At 43.5% G+C, this 20,884-nt stretch overlaps 1 long non-coding RNA gene and 1 pseudogene across 1 annotated transcript in view, besides 2 other annotated features; one reads left to right on the top strand and one right to left on the bottom strand.

The window, feature by feature from the left end:
• Window positions 1-78: 78 nt before the first annotated feature.
• The window catches only part of LINC01562 (long intergenic non-protein coding RNA 1562), a 40,002-nt gene continuing 19,196 nt past the window's right edge, over window positions 79-20,884 (bottom strand). Inside the window, exon 2 of the long non-coding RNA NR_147076.1 lies at window positions 79-2,312. This is a non-coding gene — a long non-coding RNA (long intergenic non-protein coding RNA 1562). The remainder of the gene's footprint in view (window positions 2,313-20,884) is intronic.
• Window positions 2,277-2,437, top strand: LOC107985472 (mitochondrial import receptor subunit TOM5 homolog; annotated as a pseudogene).
• Window positions 8,597-8,666: a silencer, noted in NCBI's record as "silent region_871". NCBI's record gives its function as "represses an Ori minimal core promoter by ATAC-STARR-seq in GM12878 lymphoblastoid cells {active_cell/tissue: GM12878}" and the evidence as "EXISTENCE:reporter gene assay evidence [ECO:0000049][PMID:35858748]".
• Window positions 8,697-8,796: a silencer, noted in NCBI's record as "silent region_872". NCBI's record gives its function as "represses an Ori minimal core promoter by ATAC-STARR-seq in GM12878 lymphoblastoid cells {active_cell/tissue: GM12878}" and the evidence as "EXISTENCE:reporter gene assay evidence [ECO:0000049][PMID:35858748]".

Here is a 20,884-nt window from a genome sequence, read left to right on the forward strand (position 1 = left end):
GATCAGGGTGGTGGTATTTGCTAAAGGGTGGGGTGGCTGTGACAATTTCTTTTCTTTTTTTTTTTTTTTTTTTTTTTTCTGAGACCGAGTCTCCCTCTTGTTGCCCAGGCTGGAGTACAATGACACGATCTCGTCTCACTGCAACCTCCGCCTCCTGGGTTCAAGCGATTCTCCTGCCTCAGCCTCCCAAGTAGCTGGGATTACAGGTGTGTGCCACCATGCCAGCTGTGACAATTTCTTAAAATAAGACAATGTAGCATTTGCCGCATGAATTGACACTTCCTTTCATGAAAGATTTATCTGTAGTATGCAGTACTATTTGATAGCATTTTACTCATAGTAGAATATCTTCCAAAATTGGACTCAGTCCTCTCAAACCCTGCTGCTGCTTTATCAACTAAGTTTATGTCATATTCTAAATCCTTTGTTGTCATTTCTACCATTCTACATTTCACAGTATCTTCATCAGGAGTAGATTCCATCTCAAGAAACCACTTTCTGGCTAGGCACGATGGCACACACCTGTAATCCCAGAACTTTGGGAGTCCAGAGTGAGAGAATCACGTGAGCTTGGGCATTCTAAACCAGCCTTGGCAACATAGTGAGACCCCCATCTCCTCACAAAAATTATTTTTAATTAGCTGAGCAGGGTGGTGCACACATGTAGTACTAGTTACTTGGAAGGTTGAACCAGGAGGATGGCTTGAGTCTAGGAGGTCAAGGTTGCAGTGAGCCATGATTGCCAGCCTGGGCAACACAGTGAGACTCTGTCTCTATTTAAAAAAAAAAAAAAAAAGAGGCTGGGCATGGTGGCTCACACCTGTAATCCCAGCACTTTGGGAGGTCAAGCCAGGAGGATCACTTGAGGTCAGGAGTCCGAGACCAGCCTGGTCAGCATGGTGAAACCCTGTCTCCACTAAAAATACAAAAATTAGCCAGTCATGGTGGTGGACACCTGTAATCCCAGCTACTTGGGAGGCTGAGGCAGGAGAATCGCTTGAGCTTGGGAGGTTAAGGTTGCAGTGAGCAGAGATCACATCACTGCACTCAAGCCTGGGTGACAGAGCGAGACTCCACCTCAAAAAAAAAAAAAGAAAAGAAGAAGAAATCACTTATTTGCTCATCCATAAGAAACAACTCTGCATCCATTTAAATTTTATCATGAGATTGCAGCAATTCAGTCACATCTTCAGGTTCCATTTCTAATTCTAGTTCCCTTGCTACTTCTATCATACCTGCAGTTACTTCCTCTAGTGAAGTCTTGAGCCCCTCTGAAAGTCATCCATGAGTTATAGAGTCACTTTCTTCCAAACTCCTGTAAATGTTGGTTTTTGGCTTCCTCCCTGGAACCACAAATATTCTTAATGGCATCTAGAATGGTGAATCCTTTCCAGAAGGTTTTCAATGTACTTTGCCCAAATCCATCAGCAGAATCACTATCTATGGCAGCTATAGCCTTATGAAATGTAATTTTAAATAATAAGACTTGCAGGTTTAAATTACTCCTTGATCCATGGGCTGCAGAAAGGATGTGTATTAGCAGGCATGAAAACAACATTCATCTCCTTGTACATCTCCATTAGAGCTCTTGGGTGACTAAATGCATTGTGAATGAGTATGAGCAGTAATCTTTGTAATCTTTTTTCTTTCTTCTTCTTCTTCTTTTTTTTTTTTTTTAGTAATAACCTTTTGAAAGCAACCTTTTTTCTGATCAATAGGTCTCAACAGTGGACTAAAAAATTCAATAGGGGCCAGGAACAATGGCTCACATCTCTAATCCCAGCATTTAGGAGGTGGAGTCAGGAGTGTCTCTTGATGCCAGGAGTTTGAGGATCAGCCTGGGCAACATAGCAAGACCCTGTCTCTACAAAAAATTTAAAAAATTAAAAAATTGGCTGGGTGTGGTGGCTTATGCCTGTAATCCCAGCACTTTGGGAGGCCAAGGCAGGCGGATCACCTGAGGTCAGGAGTTCAAGACCAGTCTGGCCAACATGGTGAAACCCTGTCTCTACTAAAAAAAAAACACACAAAAATTAGCTGGGCATGGTGGTGGACAACTGTAATCCCAGCTCAGGAGGCTGAGGCAGGAGAAGCACTTGAACCCGGGAGGTGGAAGTTGCAGTGAGCCGAGATTGCGCCATTGCACTCCAGCCTGGGTTACAGAGCAAGACTCCATCTCAAAAAAATAAAAATAAAAAAAAATTGAGTTCCAGGTGCAAGGCAGCCACTGAGGAGAGCAGAGTGCAGCAGCTGAAGGCTGGTGAGTCAGAGCCATGATGTTCTGGATTGAGGGCCTCACACCGAAGCTGGACCTGGAGGAGATGAAACAGAACAGAAGACATGCAAAGATGTGATCTCCTCCATACTGAACTTCCTCAGCTACATGGCCCTACTGCAAGTCACTCCTTTTATCTTAAAGAAATTGGACAGCATATGAAGATTGGGCATCATGTGTGAATGCATAATACGAAGAATCTGGCTACAGTTTCTACTCCTCTCTGCAAGTGAAAAGGCCCAGAAAGGTGTAAGAGACCCTTTGAATGGACATATTCAACAAATTCTGCTTGTTAAGAACAACTTTGGCTCTGGTAACTGACCTTCGTAGCTAAAATATAAAACTATAAGGAAGTATAAAAAATAAAATAATTAGCTGGGTGTGGTGGCACATACCTGTGGTCCCAGCTACTCAGGAGACTGAGGTGGAAGGATCACTTGGTCCAAGAGATCAAGGCTGCAGTGGGCTGTAATTGTGCAACTACACTCCAGCCTGAATCACAGAGCAAGACCGTCTCAAAAAATATATACAGGCTGCGCATGGTGGCTCACGCCTGTAATCCCAGCACTTTGGGAGGCCTAGGTGGGGGGATCACTTGAGATCAGGAGTTCAAGACCAGCCTGGCCAACATGGCGAAACCCCGTCTCTACTAAAAATGCAAAAATTAGCCAGGCATGGTGGCACACGCTTGTAATCCCAGCTACTCAGGAGGCTGAGACAGGAGAATTGCTTGAACCCAGGAGCCGAGATCGTACCACTGTACCCCAGCCTGGGCAACAGAGCAAAGCTCTGTCTCAAAAAAAAAAAAAAAAAAAAAAAAAAAATATATATATATATATATGAAACCATACTGTAAAAAAGAGGTGTGCTGTCATCCAGAGTTTGTTGTTTCATTTCTAGAGCATAAGCAGAGTAGAGTTAGCATAATTCTCAAAGGCCTTAGGATTTTCAGAATGATCGATGAGGAACTGGCTTCAACTTAAAGTCACCAGCTGCATTAGCACCTAGCAAGAGAGTCAGCCACTCCCTTGAAGCTGTGAAGCCAGGCATTGACTTTTGTCTAGCTATAAAAGTTCTAGATGGCATCTTGTTCCAATGGAAAGTTGTTTCATCTACATTGAAAATCTGTTGTTTTGCCTTCAGATCAGTGATGTCAAAAAAAAGAAAAGAAAAGAAAAGAAAATCTGTTGTTTAGTGTACTCACCTTCATCAACTATCTCAGCCAGATCTTCTGAATAACTTGCTGCTGCTTCTACATCAGCACTTGCTGCTTCACCTTGCACTTATATGTCATGGATATGGTTTCTTTTCTTAAACCTCATGGACCAACCTCTTCTAGCTTAAAACTTGTCTCCTGAAGCTTCCTCATCTCCCTTCGCCTTCATAGAATTGCTCTGGATTAGGCTTCAGCTTAAAGGCATATTGTAGCTGGTTTGATCTTCTATCCAGATCACTCTCACTTTCTCCATATCAGCAATAAGGCAGTTTTGCTTTCTTATTATTCATATGTTCACTGGAGTAGCATTTTATTTATTTATTTATTTATTTATTTATTTGAGACAGTCTCAAACAAATAACAATAAATGTTGCCCAGGCTGGTCTCAAAATCCTGGGCTCAAGTGACCCTCTGGCCTGTCTCCCAAGTAGCTGGGATTACACATGTGCATCATGCCCATCAACATCTTTTTTTTTTTTTTTAAGACGGAGTTTCATTCTTGTTGCCTAGGCTGGAGTGCAATGGCACGATCTCGGCTCACTGCAACCTCTTCCTCCTAGGTTCAAGCGATTCTCCTGCCTCAGCCTCCCTAGTAGCTGGGATTACAGGCACCTGCCACCACACCCAGCTAATTTTTTATATTTTTAGTAGAGATGGGGTTTCACTATGTTGGCCAGGCTGGTCTCAAACTCCTAAGCTCAGGTGATCCACCTGCCTCAGCCTCCCACAGTGCTGGGATTACAGGCGTGAGCCACCGCACCTGGCCAACACTTTTAATTTCCTTCAATAACTTTTCCTTTGCATTCACAACTTTGCAAACTGTCACAAGAGGCCTAGTTTTCAGCCTATCTCTGCTTTTGACATGCCTTCCTCACTAAACAATAATTTCTAGCTTTCGATTTATAGTGAGAAATGGCCAGGCACAGTGGCTCACTCCTGTAATCCCAGTGCTTTGGGAGACAAGACAAGAGGATCACTTAAGGCAAGAAGTTCAAGACCAGCTTGGGCAAAATAGCAAGACCCCCCATCTCTACAAAACATTAAATAGTCTGGGCACAGTGGCTCATGCTTGTAGTCCCAGCACTTGGAGAGGCCGAAGCAGGAGGATCGGTTGAGCTCAGGAGTTCAAGACCAGCCTGGGCAATACAGTGAGACCTCATCTCCAAAAAAAAAAAAAGTAAATATGGCCGGGAGTGGTGGCTCATGCCTGTAATCCCAGCACTTTGGGAGGCTGAGGCGGGTGGATCACCTGAGATCAGGAGTTCCGAGACCAACCCGACCAACATGGTGAAACCCCGTCTCTACTAAAGATACAAAAAACTAGCCGGGTGCGATGGCAGGTGCCTGTAATCCCAGCTACTTGGGAGGCTGAGGCAAGAGAATTGCTTGAACCCAGGAGGTGGAGGTTGCAGTGAGCCAAGATTGTGCCATTGCACTTCAGCCTGGGTGACAGAGCAAGGCTCTGTCTCAAAAATAAATAAATAAATGAATAAATAAATATCAAAAATTTAAAAATAAGTAATAAAAACAAAGTGAGAAATATGCGACTCTTCTTTCCACTTAACACTTACTTAGACACCATTGTAGGATTATTAATTGGCCTAATTTCAATATTGTCATGTCTCAGGGAATAGGTAGGCCTGAGGAGAGAGAGACACAGGGGAATGCTGGTTGGTGGAGCAGTCAGAACACATACAACATTTACTGATTATGTTCACCATTTTATATGGGCACAGCTTGTAGCACTCCCAAAACAATTTCAATAGTAGCATCAAAGATCACTGATCACAGATCACCATAACAGATAATAATAATGACAAAGTTGTATTAGTTTTTTTGTATGTTTGGTTTTCTTTTCTTTTTTTTTAATAAATTGATGTGGAGGCCGGGCGCGGTGGCTCACGCCTGTAATCCCAGCACTTTGGGAGGCCGAGGCGGGCGGATCACGAGGTCAGGAGATCGAGACCATCCTGGCTAAAACGGTGAAACCCCGTCTCTACTAAAAATACAAAAAATTAGCCGGGCGTAGTGGCGGGCGCCTATAGTCCCAGCTACTTGGGAGGCTGAGGCAGGAGAATGGCGTGAACCCGGGAGGCGGAGCTTGCAGTGAGCCGAGATCCCGCCACTGCACTCCAGCCTGGGCGACAGAGCGAGACTCTGTCTCAAAAAAAATAAAATTAAAAAAATAAATAAATAAATAAATAAATTGATGTGGAGGTCTTACTATGTTGCACAGGCTGGTTTCAAACTCCTGAGCTCAGGTAATCCACCTGCCTTGGCCTACCAAAGTGCTGGGACTATAGGCATGAGCCACCGCACTCGGCTATGTTTGGGTTTTTTTAGAGACAAGAGTCTCGCTGTGTCACCCAGGCAGGGGTGCAGTGGCATAATCATAGCGTTACTGCAGCCTCAAACTCCTGGACTCAAGCAATCCTCCAGCTTCAGCCTCTGAGCGACTGGGACTACAGGTGCATGCCACCACAACCAGCTAAGGCAAAGTTTTAAATATTGTGAGAATTACTAAAATGTGACACAAAGACATGAAGTCAGCACATGCTACCGGAAAAATGGCACCAATAGACTTGCTGGATGAAGGGTTACCACAAACCTTCAATTTGTGGGGAAAAAAAACCACACAATATCTACAAAGCACAATAAAGTGAAGCACAATAAAAACAAGGTATGCGGCTGGGCGTGATGGCTCATGCCTGTAATCCCAGCACTTTGGGAGGCCAAGGCAGGTAGATCACGAGGTCAGGAGTTCAAGACCAGCCTGGCCAACATGGTGAAACCCCGTCTCTACTAAAATTACAAAAATTAGCCAGGCATGGTGGTACACGCCTGTCATCCCAGCTACTTGGGGGGTTGAGGCAGGAGAATTGCTTGAACCCGGGAGGCGGAGGTTGTGGTGCGCCTAGATCGCACCACTGCACTGCGGCCTGGGCAACAGAGTGAGACTCTGTCTCACAAAAACAAAAACAAAAACAAAAAAACAAAAAACAAGGTATGCTTGTATCTGTAATCAGACCACTTACTACCTTTACTGATATCACCCTGAACCCAGCCGCCATCATCTCTGTTCTGAACCGTTGCAATAGCTTCCTAGCTGATCTCCCTACTTCCTTCTACTTTTTTCCTCCTTCAGTCTATTACCAACACAAAAAACACAATGAAAATGTGATATCATAAAGTAGACCATAAGACTTCTTGGTTCAAAACCTTCCAATGGCTACCCATCTCTTTCAGAAGAAAAGTCAAAATTCCATTTTTTTTTTTTTTTTTTTGAGAAGGAGTCTCACTGTGCCACCCAGGCTGGAGTGCAATGGTGCAATCTCAGCTCACTGCAACCTCTGCCTCCCAGGCTCAGGCAATTCTCCTCCTTCAGCCTCCCGAGTAGCTAGGATTACAGGTGCAAACTACCACACCCAGGTAATTTTTGTATTTTTAGTAGGGACGGGGTTTCACCATGTTGGCCAGGCTAGTCTCGAACCCTTGACCTCTAGTGATCCACCCACCTAGGCCTCCCAAAGTGCTGGGATTATAGACATGAGCCACCGCGCCCGGCCTCAAAATTATTATAATATTTACTCTGCTTCAGTTAATCTAGCCTCCTTGCTGTTTCCAAATTACACCAAGCATACTCCAGCCGCAGGGTCTTTGCACTCGTTCTTCCCTATAACTGGAATGCTTTCCTCTTTGTGAAAATACAAGGTCTTTGCTTAAATATAAACTTTCAGAGGGGCCTTCCTGGACTCCTCTATCTCATTGATACTTCCTATCCTCCTTTCTTGCTTTATTTTTTTTCTGGCCCTTCTCACCATCTGATATAATATATATGTTCTTTCTTTATGCGTTATCTGCCTGTTTCTTCCTAACAGAAGCTAAGCTCCATGAAGGCACGTCAGTTCTGTTCACTGATGTATCCGCAGTGCCTAGAACAATGCCTCACACATAGTAAGTTTTCCATACGTATTTATAGAGAGAATGCGTCAGCCTCAATGACCGCTACAGGGAAGGACTGTGTCTGACTCTTCTCTGAATCCCTAGGGCCCACCTGACAGCTGGCACAGGATAGGAACTAGTAGAATAAATGAATTGTTATTGTTGTTTTAAGGAGTTGTGCCTGTTTTATCCTTCAGTGCTTTCTTGATTCTCATGGGGTAACAATTTTTACTCTTTCCTCACCTCCCAAATACTCCTGTGGAGAGATAGAGATCTTCCTGGGGCACTCTCTCTAAGTCACTTGACACCTGGGATCTCACTGAATCTCTCCCCTTTTCCCATACTTTTGGACTGAGACCATGTATCCCAGCTATGCCCTGGACATGTATGTCACCATTCCTCCTGCTGGCTCCATTTCTAGAACACCTATGCTTTCTACCTAATTTTAGGTGTCTGGTTTCTCCTTCAGGGTAGAAATGATATTTGACTTCTCTGTGTCCCTAGGACTAGCCATAGGGCCCAGCACATATCAAGCACTCTATAAATGGTTCTTGGACTAAACCTTTGCCTGTTTCCACCTGTTTCCTGTCATTTCATAGTTCTCATTCTCTCCATAAGTCTACTGTAGCCACCCAAATACCTTAGTAAATGTATTAGTATACATGTCTCTGTGGTGTTGTAATTAAGAACACAGGCTTTGGAATCCAATAGGCTTAATCTTGGCTCTGTTACTTAATGGTTATGACTTTGAGCAAGATATTTTACTTCTCTGAGCCTCTCTTTCTTCACTGGTAAAATGAAAATAATAATGCCACAAGAGGTTACAGTGAAGATTAAACTCAATAGTGTATACAAAGCCCTAGCACTCTAGCACATAATAGCTACATGAATGATAATAGTGGTATCCACTAGCCAACGACAATAAAACTATGAATATTTTGAGGGTCAAGGACTGTATCTCTAGCATCTGGAGAATATAGACTTTGTCAGGGAAGGAAATGATTAGAGACGGGGCTGGTGAAGTCAGTTGGAGCCACATTATGAAGGGTTAAGCAGTTTAGCCTTTATTCTTTAGATAATGAAGACTAATGAAAGAGTTATGGTAACACCTAAAGCTAAGAGCAAGTCAAAGACGATATTTTTGAGTACCAAATGAGGAAAGCCAGGAGAGCTGCCTGGGGCCATGTTAGCAATTAATTGAACCTTATGGTAACTGACATCAGTTATGAACTCAGGCTATAGTTGCATGATGTCAGCCTTTCAGATGAAAATGAAAACTTCAGTCAAACATCTGGTTGTTTAGTCTACCCAACATCAAAGACCTGGCAGTTCTGAAACTTTCAGATGTTTGACTGAATGGTTTAGTTTCCATCTTCATCTTAGAGGCCTGGTAGGCACAATCACTATGATTTTTGTCAGCTTTGGGCTTGAGGGTTTTTTTTTAATCTTTTAATTATGGAAACATTTCTATAACAACATAAAATGATTTTTTTAAAAAAAAGAAACAGTGGAGGTGGGGGTTAGGGTGGGAGGATCGCTTGAGGACAGGAGTTCAAGCCCAGCCTGGACAACATAGAGAGGCCCTGTCTTTACTAAAAATAAAAAAATTGGCTGGGCATGGTGGCACGCACCCGTAGTCTCAGCTACGCAGGAGGCTGAGGCAAAAGAATCCCTTGAGCCTAGGAGTTTGAAGTTACAGTGAGCTATGATCGCGCCACTGCATTCTAGCCTGGGTGACAGAGCAAGACCCTGTTTCTAAAAACAGGAAAGAAAGAAAGAAACAAGCAAAAATAAAACCTCCCTAATTCTACCTTGTTAAAACAACTGGTTTTATTTTTGCATGTTCCCTTAATAGATATATAAAGTTTACATTGCTTATCCACGGGAACATATGTTTGTGCCCTTTTCATTGCACTTATTGTTATGTTTGATTTAAATGTAATTCATATTTTTTGTATATTTTTTATAGAGATAAGGTCTTACTATGTTGCCCTGTCTGGTCTAAAACTCCTGGGCTCAAGCCATCCTCCTGCCTTGGCCTCCCAAAGTGCTAGGATTACAGGCATGAAGCAAAGCACCTGGCCTCATATTTTTAAATAATTACTATATAATATTATCAACTGGATATGCTAGAATCTACTGAATTTGAACATTCTGGGGTTGATGTAAATTTTTGTGACTCTTGGCCGGGCACGGTGGCTCACGCCTGTAATCCCAGCACTTTGCGAGGCCGAGGTGGGTAGATCATGAGGTCAGGAGATCGAGACCATCCTGGCTAACACAGTGAAACCCTGTCTCTACTAAAATACAAAAAAATTAGCCAGGTGTGGTGGTGGGCACCTGTAGTCCCAGCTACTCAGGAGGCTGGGGAAGGAGAATGGCATGAACCCAGGAGGCAGAGCTTGCAGTGAGCCGAGATCGCACCACTGCACTCCAGCCTGGGCAACAGAGTGAGACTCTATCTCAAAAAAAAATTTTTTTGTGCCTCTAATTTTTCATTAAGATAAACAACCAGCTGGGCAAAGTGGCTCACACCTGTAATCCCAGCACTTTGGGAGGCCAAGGCGGGCAGATCACGAGGTCAGGAGTTCGAGACCAGCCTGGCCAACATGGTGAAACCCCATCTCTACTAGAAATACAAAAATTAGCTGGGCGCGGTGGTGGGCGCCTGTAATCCCTGCTACTCGGGAGGCTGAGGCAGGAGAATCATTTGAACCCAGGAGGTGGAGGTTGCAGTAAGCCGAGATCACACCATTGCTCTCCAGCCTGGGTGACAGGGTGAGACTAGTCTCACATAAATAAATACATACATACATACAAACAACCGTGTTTGTTTATAATAATTTCATAGAGGTGGGGCGAAGTGGCTCACACCTGTAATCCCAGCACTTTGGGAGGCTGAGGCAGGTGGATCACCTGAGGTCAGGAGTTCAAGACCAGCCTGACCAACATGGAGAAACCCCGTCTCTACTAAAAATACAACATTAGCCTGGTGTGGTGGCGCATGCCAGTAATCCCAGCTACTCGGGAGGCTGAGGCAGGAGAATTGCTTGAACCTGGGAGGCAGAGGTTGCGGTGAGCTGAGATCATGCCATTGCACTCCAGCCTGGGCAACAAGAGAGAAACTCCATCTCAAAATAAATAAATAAATAAATAAATAAATAAATAAATAAATAAATAATAAATAAATTCAAAGGATATCCAGTTAAAAGTCAAAGCATTGGCTGGACATGGTGGCTCACGCCTGTAATCCCAGCGCTTTGGTAGGCCAAGGCAGTTGGATCACATGAGGTCAGGAGTTCAAGACCAGCCTGGGTGACATTGTGAAACCCCGTCTCTACTAAAAATACAAAAAATTTATCTGGGCATGGTGGTGCGCACCTGTAATCCCCACTACTCCAGAGGCTGAGGCAGGAGAATCACCTAAATCTGGGAGGCCAAGGTTGCAGTGAGCAGAGATCGTGCCATTGCTCTCCAGCCTGGGTGACAAGAGCAAAACTCTGTCTCAAAAAATAATAATGATAATAATAAAATAAAAGTCACAGCATTTTTATGACTCAATACAGATGTCTTAGTTCATTTTGTGCTGCTACAGCAGAATACCTGAGACTGGGCAATTTATAAAGTACAGAGATTTATTTCTTATAATTCTAGAGGCTAGGAAGTCCAAGACCGAGGGTTCAGCATCTGAAGGGGGCCTTTGTGTTGCATTATCTTTTGGCAGAGGTGGAAGGGCAAGAGAGGATGAGAGAGAGCAAGACAGCAAACTTGCAACCTCAAACCCTGTTATAATTGGCATTAATCCACTCATGAGGTTGGAGCCCTCATGACCTAAATGCCTCCCATTAGACACCACCTCCCAACACTTGCATTGGGGATTAAGTTTCCAAAACATGCTTTTGGGGAGACATATTAACACCATAGCAATAGGCTGGGCACAGTGGCTCCTGCCTGTAATCCCAGCACTTTGGGAGGCTGAGGCGGGTGGATCACCTGAGGTCAGGAGTTCGAGACTAGCCTGGCCAACATGGTGAAACCCCGTCTCTATTAAAAATATAAAAATTAGCCAGGTGTGGTGGCGGGCGCCTGTAATCCCAGCTATTTGGGAGGCTGAGGCAGGAGAACCGCTTGAACTCAGGAGGCGGAGGTTGCAGTGAGCCAAGATCACACCATTGCACTCCAGCCCTGGGTGACAGAGAGAGACTCTGTCTCAAAAAAAAAAAAAAAAGAACAAAAAAACATAGGAACAGATTTCCATATTGCAAAGGGATTATACTACTTTAGACTGATATCAACAACATATGAGTTCCCACAACAGATTTCCCACATAAGATTTCACCACAATCTTATCACCATTGATGTTATCATTTCAATGTTTTAATTTCTGGTCAATTGGGCCAGTTCTAACATAACACATGTAACCATATACTTATCCCTTCTCCTCTCCCAAAACATCAATACAAGGAGAACAAATGATTGGGGGTTTTTTTGTTTTGTTTTGTTTTTGTTTTTTTTAGACAGGGTCGCACTCTGTTGCCTGCACTGGAGTGCAGTGGCATGATCTCAGCTCACTGCAACCTCCATCTCCTGGGTTCAAGTGATTCTCCCACCTTAGCCTCCTGAGTAGCTGGGACTTACAGGCATGTACCACCATGCCTGGCTAATTTTTTTTTTTTTTTTTTTTGGTATTTTTTGGTAGAGACAGGGTTTTTCCATGTTGGCAGGCTGGTCTCGAACTCCTGACCTCAAGTGATCCACCTACCTCAGCCTCCCAAAGTCCTAGGATTACAGGCCACCACACCCGGCCCCAGTGAGAACAAATGATTGTTTTAAAGGTATAAACTCAGCTGGGCATGGTGGCTCACAACTGTAATCCCAGCACTTTGGGAGGCTGAAGCAGGAGCCTCACTCAAGGCCAGGAGTTCGAGACCAGGCTGAGCAACATAGCAAGACCCCATTTAAAAAGACAGAAACTGGTTGGGCATGGTGGCTCGCGCCTGTAATCCCAGCCCTTTCGGAGGCCGAGGTGGGAGGATCATTTGAGGTCAGGAGTTCAAGATCAGCCTGGCCAACAGAGTGAAACCCCATCTCTACTAAAAAAAAAATAACAAAAATTACCCCAATGTGGTGGCAGGAGCCTGTAATCCCAGCTATTCAGGAGGCTGAGGCAGGAGAATGGCTTGAACCCGGGAGGTGGAGGTTGTAGTGAGTTAAGATGGCACCACTGCACTCCAGCCTGGGCAACAGAGCAAGATCCTGTCTCAAAAAAAAAAAAAAGAAAGAAAGAAAGAAAAGAAAAGAAAAGAAAAAAGAACACTAGGAGATAAAGAAAGTATGCTCCAGCTTTAGGGGAAAAATAATAGTATCATACAAGGGATAGAGAGATAATTTGAATGATATTAAATGTCTTAACAACAAACACTAGGAATATAAAGTAGCAATGCCTTAAACATCCTGTGTAAAACTTTTTTTCAACTTAGAATTCTATATCTGGAAAACTACCAATCGAGTGGGAAATGAAAATTAAGACATACTGAGACTTGCAAAGTCTCCAAAAAATTACTTTGTGTAACTTTGTTTTGGGAAGCTACTATAGGATGTGTGCCACCAAAATGAGAGAGTAAACCCAGGCCAGGCCCAGTGGCTCACACATGTAATCCCAGCACTTTGAGAATCCAAAGCAGGAGGATCACTTGAACCCAGGAGTTCGAGACCAGCCCGAGCAACATACGGAGACCCCATCGCTACAAAAAAAAAAAAAAAATTAGCTGGTTATGGTGGCATGTGCCAGTAGTTCCAGTTATTCAGGAGGCTGAGGCAGGAGGATCCCTTCAGTCCAAGAGTTGGAGGTGTCAGTGACCTATGATTGTACCACTGCACTCCAGCCTGGGCAACAGAGCGAGACCCTGTGTCAAAAAAAAAGGAAAAAGAAAAACAGAGAGTAAACCCAAAAAAGAGAAAGATCTAAGATTCTTAAAAGAGGAAATATATTTTTCATGGAGATATAAACTAGAAAAAAGAAAAATAATAATAAAAAGATAAAAAGAGGAAATACACAACAGAGTCAAAGAGAATCCTCACGATGGTGATAAAGGATAATCCTAGAATGACAGCTGTTCAGCATGCATCAAGATTGGACTAGGAGAGTAGAGGGCTTTGGGAGCTATATGTTCAGGAAAATAAATGGAATAGATAAATTATCTGATATATTTAATCATGTAGAAAATAGTGACATAGAGAATTGAGCAAATTGGCAGAGTGTGGTGGCTCACACCTGTAATCCCAGCACTTTGGGAGTCCAAGGCAGTGGATTGCCTGAGGTCAGGAGTTCGAGGCCAGCCTGGCTAACGTGGTGAAACCCCATTTCTACTAAAAAGGCAAAAATTAGCCAGGAATGGTGGTGTGTGCCTGTAATCCCAGCTACTTGGGAGGCTGAGGCAGGAGAATTGCTTGAACCCAGGAGGTGGAGGTGGCAGTGGGCCGAGATTGTGCCACTGCATTCCAGCCTGGGCAAGAGTGAGACTCTGTCAAAAAAAAAAAAAAAGAGAGAGAGAGAGAAAATTTAGCAAATAAAAAAAATTAATATCTCCAGCAAGAAAAATGTATATGAGGAAATGTAATTATGGTATATCATTTAGCTTAGCAGTAAACAACATTCATAATAATTCAGTAAATTTTGATTTAGTGAAAAAATATATTTTAACTAGATTAGGGGAAAAATAGAGATCTAGAGTGATGAAAGAGGGCTAAATCCTCATCTTTCATAGCAGAAATTCAAAAGATAATGTCTAAAATTGATAGGTCAAAAAAAGTAAGTATACAAGCAAATTGTCTATTTAATGGAAGTAAACGCCAGAATGGCTAAAAATGTTTGGGGAGGGGGTTTGAGGTTAAAGATGAGCAAGGATAGGGAATCACATTTTTTAATCATAAGCCTTATGGTATTATCTGACTTTTTAAACAATGTGAGTATATTACTTTGATTGATTTTTAAACTTTATTCTTTTTTTAATTTTTTTTTTTTGAGACAGAGTCTCACTCTGTCACCCAGGCTGGAGTGCAGTGGTGCAATCTCCACTCACTGCAAGCTCTGCCTCCCGGGTTCAAGCAATTCTCCTGCCTCAGCCTCCCAAGTAGCTGGGATTACAGGTGCCCACCACCATGCCCAGCTAATTTTCGTATTTTTAGTAGAGATGGGGTTTCACCAGTTTGGCCAGGCTGGTCTTGAACTCCTGACCTCAGGTGATCCACCCGCCTCGGCCTCCCAAAGTGCTAGGATAACAGGCATGAGCCACTATGTCCAGCAACTTTTAAACTTTAAAAATAACTTTTAAATGTTATATCATTTTCATCTGAATTTGCTTAACTGAAGATTTTTACCATGTGTTTACATACTGACTGTAAATTACTTAACAAACATTTATATATCTATTAGTTGTTTTGCCCAGCATGGGAGATAATTAAATGAGCAAAAGTAAATCTTTACCCTTAAATAATTCACAGTACAGGTGGGAGAGAGTAAGTAATCAAATAATTATTAAACAGATGACAAGCGCTGTAATAGAGAAATATGTAGGGCATTATAGGAGCAGAAAGGAAGACCTATCTGGCTTTACCTTGGGATAGGTGGATCTGAGCTACATCTTAGAGGAGGACAAGCTTAGCTTAGCTCTCTAAGCTCTTAGAGAGAGCTTCCTAGGCAAATGGACTTGATGTGAAAAGGCTTGGAGGGGTCAGCAAGTTTCCTTTGCCAAGTTTGTGAAGGCCAAAAGGCAGGATTTATGTGGGATTTATCTCATCCTTTGTTCAGTTTTATTTGAGTTCAGCCAAGTTTTGTGGCCTTCTGTGCTATGTAGGAAAAATGATCCCAAACTACGTTTTTCCTCTGCTCTCACACCACCACAATAATTATCAACATAGAAGATTTCTGTGACCAAAAAGGTGTGGGGGGTTTCCCCACACACCAAGCAGCAGACGCCAGCTGGGTATCCTGCGATACTGTCTACCCAGATACAGTGTCAGATCCCACAGATTGAGGGCTCAGTCCCACAAAACTGTCCTCTCCTTCCCCCTAGTTGTACGTCCAGATCTCTGAAACTTCTGACTGACCAGCTTCAAGTTGGGGTTCCCACAACCCCCACTTTGGGTTTGATTAATTTGCTAGAGTGGTTCACAGAACTCAGGGAAACACATTTACCGGTTTATTAGGAAGGATATTTTAAAGGATACAAATAAACAGCCAGATGAAGACATACACAGAGTGAGGTCTGGAAGGGTCCTGAGCACGGGAGCTTTTGTCCCCATGGAGTTGGTGTTGATCACCCTCCCGGCACATGGATAAATTCTTCTGCATCTTCCTGTCAGCCTCCATATGTTCAGCTCTCTGGAAGCTCCCTGAACCTTGTCCTGGAAGCTCCCTGAACCTTGTCCTTTGGGCCTTTTATGGGGACTTCATTGGTTGTCCATGACCGAAGCATGTCAAAATGTGATTAGACAAAAAGGATGTGATCTAAACCCAGCAAGGCCTATCTGTTCAGATTCTTCTTGGCCTCTCTGTTCAGTATTCCTTCCTCCAGAGTATGGGACATGACTGTCTCTGAAGTGAGGGTCTTAAGACCCACAATCAGAAAAGTAGGGGAATATTAGAGTCCTGTCTAGGGGCAGGTGAAAGGAGGGCAGGAGAAAGAAAGATTCTGTTTCCTGAAACACCCAACATTATATTATAGAAAAGACTATAACAAGGGCTATGGGAATTATGAGCCAGGACCATGGACAAAAACCAATATATATCATAATGCCACACGTGGACATTTTAAAATCTCAGAGCTGTGTCTGTTCTTAAAATGCAGCTGGGGTCCTGGCTTTGAGGTGGAAATAACGCAAACAACTGTAGATGGTGCAGTGTCACAAATGTGAAGGCCAGGAAAACACTGAAGTATTCCAATTATTTTGATATGTGTGTCCTCTAATGGCCAAGAGTAAAGATTTTCGCTTTTTAAAATCTTTGACCCAGCACTTTGGGAGGCCGAGGCGGGCAGATCACCTGAGGTCAGGAGTTCGAGACCAGCCTGGCCAACAAGGCAAAACTCTGTCTCTACAAAACTACAAAGATATTAGCTGGGCATGGTGGTGTGCACCTGTAATCCCAGCTATTCAGGAGGCTGAGGTGGGAGACTCGCTTGAACCTGGGAGGTGAAGGTTGCAGTAAGCCGAGATTGTGCCACTGCATCCCAGCCTGGGCAACAGAGTGAGACACTGTCTCAAAAAAAAAAAAGAAAAAAAACTTTGAATTATCACCTTGGTTAAATGAATCACTATTATTTTACAGTAACTTATGATCCTATTTTGAGCAAATGTCTGAAACCTTTGCTATTTGACAAACTTTTTAAAATCAAAATTTCAAAATTCATACTTTTGACCTCAGGCTAATTTTGGGGGTTATTAGGGCCCTGGAAGTCCATATCAGGCTTATTTGGTATATAAAAATCATACAGGAAGCATTGTCAAATATGAAATGATATTTAACTTTCTTCAGGTTGGCCGGGCACGGTGGCTCACACCTGTTATTCTAGCACTTTGGGAGGCCAAGGTGGGTGGATCACCTGAGGTCAGGAGTTCAAGACCAGCCTGGCCAACATGGTAAAACCCCATCTCTACTAAAAATACAAAAATTAGCTGGGCATGATGGCAGGTGCCTGTAATCCCAGCTACTCGGGAGGCTGAGGCAGGAGAATTGCTTGAAGCAGGGAGGCAGAAATTGCAGTGAGTCGAGATCATGCCATTGCACTCCAGCCTGGGTGACAGAGCAAGATTACATCTCAAAAACAAACAAACAAAAAAAAAACAGGGCTGGGTGTGATGGCTCACGCCTGTTATCCCAACACTTTGAGAGGCCGAGGCGGGCAGATCACAAGGTCAGGAGTTCGAGACCAGCCTGGCCAACGTGGTGAAACCCCATCTCTGCTAAAAGTACAAAAATTAGCTGGGCATGGTGGTGAGCACCTGTAATGCCAGCTACTTGGGAGGCAGAGGCAGGAGAATCATTTGAACCTGGGAGGCGGAGGTTGCAGTGAACTGAGATCGGACCATTGCACTCCAGCCTGGTGGGGAGGGTGAGACCACCACCGCCCCCCCCAAAAAAAAAACTTTCTTCAGGTTATATTTGTATAAATGCGTTATTAATATGTGTTCCAAAATTCCGTAAGATTCCTAAAATTCTGTTATGTCTTAAATCAGTAATAATTGTGATTATTATGTTAAATTGTTATATGCCACAGAAATAACAAAATTTCTTTTTTTTTTTTTTTTTTTTGAGACAGAGTCTCGCTCTGTTGCCCAAGCTGGAGTGCAGTGGCACAATCTCGGCTCACTGCAACCTCCACCTCCCAGGTTCAAAGTGATTCTTCTGCTTCAGCCTCCTGAGTAGCTGGGATTACAGGCACGCACCAGCACGCCTGGCTAATTTTTGTATTTTTAGTAGAGACGGGGTTTTGCCATGTTGGCCAGGCTGGTCTCGAACTCCTAACCTCAGGTGATCTGCCTGCCTCGGCCTCCCAAAGTACTGGGATAATAGGCGTGAGCCACCACACCTGGCCGTGATTATTCTTAATTTATTGCAATATAGCTATTTGCATAAACTCAATAGAATCTGTTTTATTTTGGAATAGGACACAATTGGAGACACTGGATTTACCAAGGCTTTGACAGGAATATCATATTTTTAGATATGCCCAGGCTGCTTTAAGGAATAGAAGTTAAGGCCAGGCATGGGCCCATGCCTGTAATCCCCTTGGGAGCCTGAGGCAGGACAATCACTTGAAATCAGGAGTTCAAGACCAGCCTAGCAACATAGTGAGACCCCATGTCTACTCAAAAAATAATTTAGGATGGGCATGGTGGCTCATACTTGTAATCCCAGCACTTTGGGAGGCCAAGCAGGATTACCACGGGAGTCCAGGAGTTTGAGACCAGCCTGGGCAACAAAGTGAGATCTCATCTCTACAAAAAAATGTAAAAAATAGCCAAGCACGGTGGTGCATGCCTATGGTCCCAGCTACTCAGGAGGTGGAGGTGGGAGGATCGCTTGAGCCTGGGAGTTTGAGGCTGCAGTGAACCAAGATCATGCTACTGCACTCCAGCCTGGGTGACAGAGTGAGACCCTGTCTCAAAAAGAAAAATAAGTCTGGGCGCAGTGGCTCACACCTGTAATCCCAGCAGTTTGGGAGGCCAAGGCAGGCAGATCACGTGAGGTCAGCAGTGCGAGACCAGTATGGGCAACATGGTGAAACCTTGTCTCTATTAAAAGTACAAAAATTAGCCAGGTGTGGTAGCAGGTGCCTGTAATCCCAGCTACTCAGAGGCTGAGGCAGGAGAATCGCTTAAACCCTGGAGGTAGAGGCTGCAGCAAGCCGAAATCGCACCACTGCACTCCAGCCTGGGCTACAGAGCAAGACTGCATCTCAAAAAGAAAAGAAAAGGAAAGAAAAGAAAAGACAAATAACTTTTTAAATAATTTTTAAAATATTTTAAAGGAATAGAAGTTGACTTTATAGAGCTAATAAAACGTCTGGAAAGACTGACATGGTACCTTGTCTGTGCAGCTCCTTTACAAGTTTTCTGTTCTCGCAGCAAGAAAAGAATGTCACTTTCTGGCTAAGCACAGTGGCTAGCGCCTGTAATCCCAGCACTTTGGGAGGCCAGGGTGGGTGAGCCCAGGAGTTTGAGATCAGCCTGGCCAACATGGTGAAACCCTGTCACTAAAAATACAGAACTTAGGAGCGTGGTTGTGCATGCCTGTAATCCCAGCTACTTGGGAGGCTGAGGCAGGAGAATCGCTTGAACCCAGTAGGCAGAGGTTGCAGTGAGCCAAGATCATTCCACTGCACTCCAGCCTGGTGACAGGCAAGACTTTCACAAAAAAAAAAGTTCTAGCAAAGCCAATTTAAACGAACCTATATGGCCAATCACTATTCTTGCTGCACTTTATGCAAATAATCAGGCCAAGTATATTGTGACTAAAACTTATTTTGCAAATTAATTGGTCCTGCTATGATTTATCCTTGCTGAAAATGGGAAACTAGAGAGAGAAGAATTATGTTTTAGAAGAAAAATTATGTTTTAGAAGAAATCTATAGTCCACCCACTATTTGATTCTAGCCCTGTTCATTGTTTGTGAGTTTTTGTTATTTGCCTACAGTAAGGATGAAATCATAAATTCTTTCCTGGTTACAAGTCCCTATACTAACGTTTCCAAATTTGTCTTCCACTTTTCTGACTTGGACGCAATACAATTGCTACCGTCTTTTTCCTGAGGCCCTCCAGGCTGAAGCTCATATGTTGTGACATACAAACTGCAGGCAAGAAAAACCTGTCAGATTGCCAGCATCTACTTCCACGTTAACTGAAGATGCTTCAAGTCTTACATCCAGACAACTCACCCAACTGCCCTCCAGACTCTAAGGAAGCCGGTTTATAGATTGTACCAAACATTAACCTTTGTTTTTCTTCTGTTTGAAAGCCCATCTGCGATGCCATCTTCTGATATGGGCAGCTTTTAGTGTGTGAAACTTCTAGGGAAGTTTCTGACAGGGTAATGTTGGGGCCAGGAAACCAATACCACAAAATATGGCGTTTTGACATGCTGAACTGAAGAAGCCTCAAGGTCTTTCTGACCTTCCCCCAACATGCACATATACTGTCTCACCCAAAGTCCCTATCTGCCTAACATCCAGACTCTCCAAAAGGAACAATTATTTTTTCTTCCCTTCCCTATAAGACCAAGACTGTAACCACACCTGAAGCAACCCCTTCACAAGATAATGTACAAGTTAATCTCTGTTCCCTGATTCATTTATTCTCCCTAGTAATGCCCTCAACAGAATTCCTCTTCCCCCTCTCACAACCTGTTTTGCCAGAATAGCTTACAAGCTTCTGAATCACACTGTAGGATGGGCAATCACCCCATGATTCTCCCCATGTATGCACATTAAATAAATGTGTATGCCTTTTCTCCAATTAATCTACCTTTTGTGAGCTGATTCTTCAGTGAACCTTTGGAGGGCAGAGGGGAGGTTTCCCTTGACCCGTAAAGCCTCAGTGTATCTGATTTACTCTGTGAGAAGGACCACTGAGTTGTAGGCAGAGTTCCTGACCCTCCAAATTACAAAAACGAGCTTTTTAATCCAAGCCTCTCCAAGCAGAAAAAACAGCCATCATTGAATAATCTTTCAAAATAGAATGTCCTATAGAAAATATACATTCGCTATAAAAATAAGCACTAGGCCATGCATTCCTTGGTTCCCACGGCCACCATCCTAGTTCAGGCCCCAATATTAGACCATTGCAACTGAGTCCTAACTACCTTTTCTCTGCCTCCAGTCTCTTCCATTAGTCCATTTCCCCTTGCCACCAGATTGCTGTTTCTAAAACACAGAGCTAATCATATGACTCTC

Source organism: Homo sapiens, chromosome 1, assembly GCF_000001405.40.
Source record: "Homo sapiens chromosome 1, GRCh38.p14 Primary Assembly".
Classification (NCBI taxonomy): Eukaryota; Metazoa; Chordata; class Mammalia; order Primates; family Hominidae; genus Homo; species Homo sapiens.